Source organism: Homo sapiens, chromosome 20, assembly GCF_000001405.40.
Source record: "Homo sapiens chromosome 20, GRCh38.p14 Primary Assembly".
Taxonomy (NCBI): Eukaryota; Metazoa; Chordata; class Mammalia; order Primates; family Hominidae; genus Homo; species Homo sapiens.
The window spans coordinates 54652375-54657073 of record NC_000020.11 but is presented as its reverse complement, the minus strand read 5'-3'; positions in this window follow the sequence as shown (position 1 = coordinate 54657073).

Genomic DNA, 4699 nt, shown 5'->3' with positions numbered 1-4699 from the left:
TACCATCCGACACCAGTCAGTTGGCTATTATTAAAAAGACAAGGCTGGGCACCGTGGCTCAAGCCTGTAATCCCAGCACTTTGGGAGGCCAAGGCGGGCGGTTCACAAAGTCAAGAGATCGAGACCAGCATGGCTAACATGGTGAAACCCTGTCTCTACTAAAAATACAAAAAATTAGCCAGGCGTGGTGGCAGGAGCCTGTAATCCCAGCTACTTGGGAGGCTGAGGCAGGAGAATTGCTTGAACCTGGGAGGCGGAGGTTGCAGTGAGCCGAGATCATACCACTGCACTCCAGCCTGGGTGACAGAGTGAGACTCTGCCTCAAAAAAAAAAAAAAAAAAGACAACAGATATTGGTGAGGATGCAAAGAAAAGGACACACTTATACACTGTTGGTGAGAATGTAAATCAGTACAACCTCTATGGAAAAAAGTGTGGAGATTTCTCGAATTCAAAATAGAACTGCCATTCCATTCAGCAATCTCACCACTGGAATCTTACCCAAAGGAAAAGAAATCACTACATTAAAAAGATAATTGCACTTATATATTTACTGTAGCACTTCTCATTATAACAATGTCATGGAATCAACCTAAGTGTCCATCAACAGATGATTAGAGAAAATGTGATATACATATATATTCATATATATCACATAGATAAAGAATAAAAATAAATTATATAAGTGCATACCATGGAATACTATGCAGCCATTAAAAAGAATGAAATTATGTCTTTTACAGCGACATGGATGAAGCTGGAGGCCATTATCCTAAGTGAAATACTCAGAAACAGAAAGTCAAATACCTCAAGTTCTCACTTACAAGTGGGAGCTAAAAATGAGTATACAAGATCATACAGGGTGGAATAACAGACACTGGAGACTTCAAAAGTGGGAGGTTGGGAAGTGGGTGAGGTTTGAAAAATTACTTATGGGTATGGTGTTCACTATTCGAATGATGGGTTCACTGGAAGCCCAGATATCAGCACTACGCAATAGTGAGGCAACAAAACTGCATTTATACTCCCTAAATCTAAAATAAATACATAATTTCAAAATGCTGTTATTTTGAAGAGAACAATAAAATTGATAAATAAGCCATACTAACCAAGATAAAAGAGAAAAGATACAAGTTACTAATATCAAAGATAAAAGCCAGGCCATCCATATCCGATCCCATGGACACTGAAAGGAAATTAGAAGATTATAAACTCCATACCCACAAATTTGATAACTAGATCAGTTGGACCAATTAATTCCTTGAAAGACCCAATCTACTAAAACTCGCAAAAGGATGAAATGGAATACCCAATAACCTTCAAAACATTTACATATTGCAAAACATTATGTTTAGCCATATTAACTTATTTAAACTAGTGGGTCCAGGGGTTCCCGATTTGTCAAGAACATTTGAAAATGGAAAATATTTAATTTTAATACATGACTCATTAAGTCAAGGAATCGATCCCCACTGTGGGATATCTTTGCACAATGGGTACATTTATAGAGAATGCAGGCAAAAATGATACTATGTTCATGGTTAAAGGAAGGCATAATTGTTTTAGGTATAGTAGCTTCCTCTAAGATCACAGGGGGTATCAAATGTAAATGTTGTGGTATCCCAAGGTATTATTCTTATTTGAGCCCTGTATTAAGGAGGTGGACATTTCCCAGTTGATGCATTTCAACAGATGTTGAAGTTAATTCACAACCTATTTTGTAGAGGCATAAAACTCAATCACCACTCATTTTTGTTTTACATATAACCTTTATATATGTAAACTTTGGCTTTTCAAACAAAAAATACTAAACCTTATCTGTATTAGTCTGTTCTCACACTTCTACAAAGAACTACCTGAGACTGGGTAATTTATGAAGAAAAGAGGTTTAATTGACTCAGTTCCACAGGCTTAACAGGAAGCATGACTGGGAGGCCCCAGGAAACTGACAGTCATGGCGGAAAGTGAAGAGGAAGCAAGCACCTTCTTCACATGGCGGCAGAAGAGAGAGTGAGAGAGTGAAGGGGGAAGCCCTAGACACTTTCAAACAACCAGCTCTTGTGAGAATTCCATCACGAAAACAGCAAGCGAGAAGTCCACCTCCATGATTCAATCACCTCCCACGAGGCCTCTCCCTCAACACTGGGAATTACAATTCGACAAGAGATTTGGCTGGGGACACAGAGCCAAGTTATAGCATTACCCATCTGCAATATCTGTAAATCCCCCTAAGCAACTCCTGCTTTTCTGTAGAGGACAGAAAGCAGCCTCACCAAAGGCCAAAGATAATAAATTTGTTATTATAATAAAAATGAAAGAACTTGGAGAAAGGAAGTAAGACAGGTTGGCTGGTGGCTCAGTGCTGATGCCTGAGCTAGAGCAGCTGGATTCTCGCTTCCTTCACTTCCTCACCCTGCCTGCCTTTTTTGCAGTCTCTGCTTTGCTTTCACAAGCAGCCCCTGGCTGGCGGCTCTTTCCTATTAAAAAAAACAGTGTGGGAAGGCCTCAAACTTCAGGCATCTCAGAGAAACAAAGAAGGTCAAACCAAGTCTCCTTATTAGTTGTTATAGCAACAAAGAAACTATTGCAGCGACGTTGAAAATGCCTCCTGGAATCCCACCTCTGGAGCTGCAATTACAGCACATCTCCCCTTCCTGTGTGTTATCCCAGGTACGGAATCGCGTCTTTACCTGTGTGCCAGAATTCTGCATCTCCTGACAAGGGAAGCGTCTTGGGCAGCCCACTCGAATGGAGGCACTGGCTTGGCTCTACCACCTGACTTTTCACAGGTGTCTTGGATAAAAGCGCATTGTCAATTGCCTCCAGGTGCCTCAAGTCTTACCTGATGGGTACTCCCTGCATTTCTGTCTCCTTGAGCTTTCTTAAAATGAGATTTTATGCCATTTACCAAAACCTGCACTGGAGTTACCTAGAAACACTGATCGAAAATGTAAATTTATGGACTCCACCCTAGATCTAGTGAATAAGTGTCTTTGCCAACATTTAAGAACTGCTAGCTTAGAGAGGGGAGTGTGGGTGATGGTACTTTATTTAGTGCAGATCCAGGCAAAAGATTATCACTTGGTCCTGCCTTGGCTGAATCAAATCACAACAGATTGATCCAATGAGTTTGCAGTGAAATCAGCCAACTGTTGATTTTCATGAGAAGATGGGCAGACTTACCTTTGCCCAGTATTTAATCTACAGAATTTAAAACCTGAATATCAAAGGGAAATTTCCAGTTTGCTGTCTTAATGGAAATCTGAACATCTATGTGTTTTTTTCCAGGACCAAAGGAAAGATTTTCTTTAATATAGTTTATACAGTATTTCAAGCTCATAAAGTATTCTCTTTCTCAAAAGTCAAGATTGCCCAAAGAAGAAATAATAAAATGTCTTCTCATACAAATGTATGTTCTTGTTAGTTTTTCTGTTTCCTGAGCAATTGGCTTACAAATTGAGTCTGTGGATCAGGCATGGTGAAGGCAAACACACTTTTCCTGTATACATCCTGGCATACCCATATATACTGTTAAATAAGTACTTGGAAAATGAATGAATAAATTTCAGAAACTCAAGCAGTCTTCCTTGAGAGCATTTTAATCACTACTGCAATATCCTGCCTTAAACTGGGTAAAAAAAAAGATATTTTTAACAGAGTTGAGGATGCAAAGAGGAATATGAGATTTACTTCCCTGCTCCCCCATCCTCACCTCCCACCAAAAGAAAAAAGTTGCTTTTTCTAATATGTAATTAAAACAGAAACATCATAGTTTAGCCTCCAGACCCCAGTTTATTTGCAAGTTACCACGAATGCTTTAGAATTTAGTGTGCATTAGGTAAAAATCCACCACAGCTTTGAAAAACTTTCTCACACTATGTTCACTACTTGAGGTAGGGATTTAGAAAAAAATCGAAATCACTTCAAATTATCACTCCCCTTATTTAAGGCCAGATAGTAAAGTATTTAAATTTCTTATGTTTTCTACCTGAAACTGTGAAATTAATATAAGATAGCATTTGAGGTTTTTATTTTAGAGCAGGGGATCCAGAAATAAGAGTCAACTCTGCCACTTGTATTTGTGAATAAAGTTTAATTGAAATAGCCATGCCTATCTGTTTATCTATGTTAAAAGCAGGCTGGGCACGGTGGCTCACACCTGTAATCCCAGCACTTTGGGAGGCCGAGACAGGCGGATCACTTGAGGTCAGGAGTTCAAGACCAGCTTGGCCAACATGGTGAAACCCCATCTCTACTAAAAATACACACAAAAAAATTAGCCGGGCGTGGTGGCACGTGCCCGTAATCCCAGCTACTCAGGAGGCTGAGGCAGGAGAATTGCTTGAACCTGGGAGAGGGAGGCTGCAGTGAGCCGAGATGGTGCCACTGCACTCCAGCCTGGATAACAGAACGAGACTCCATCTCAAAAAACAAAACAAAACAAAATACAAAACAGTCTATGGTTGCTTTTGCACCGGAAGGCAACAGAGACCATATGACCCAGAAAGCCTAAAATATTTGCATCTCAACTCTTTACAGAATAAGTTTGCTTTCCCCTAAGGAAGCCAGCCTTAGGGATTTACAAAGCAGATTTAGGAATCAGATTACCTGAGTTCAAACATGAATCTATCATTTAATAGGTAAAAGATCTTGGGCATATTAATTACATCATTTAGATTCCTTGAGCTCGGTTTCCCCGT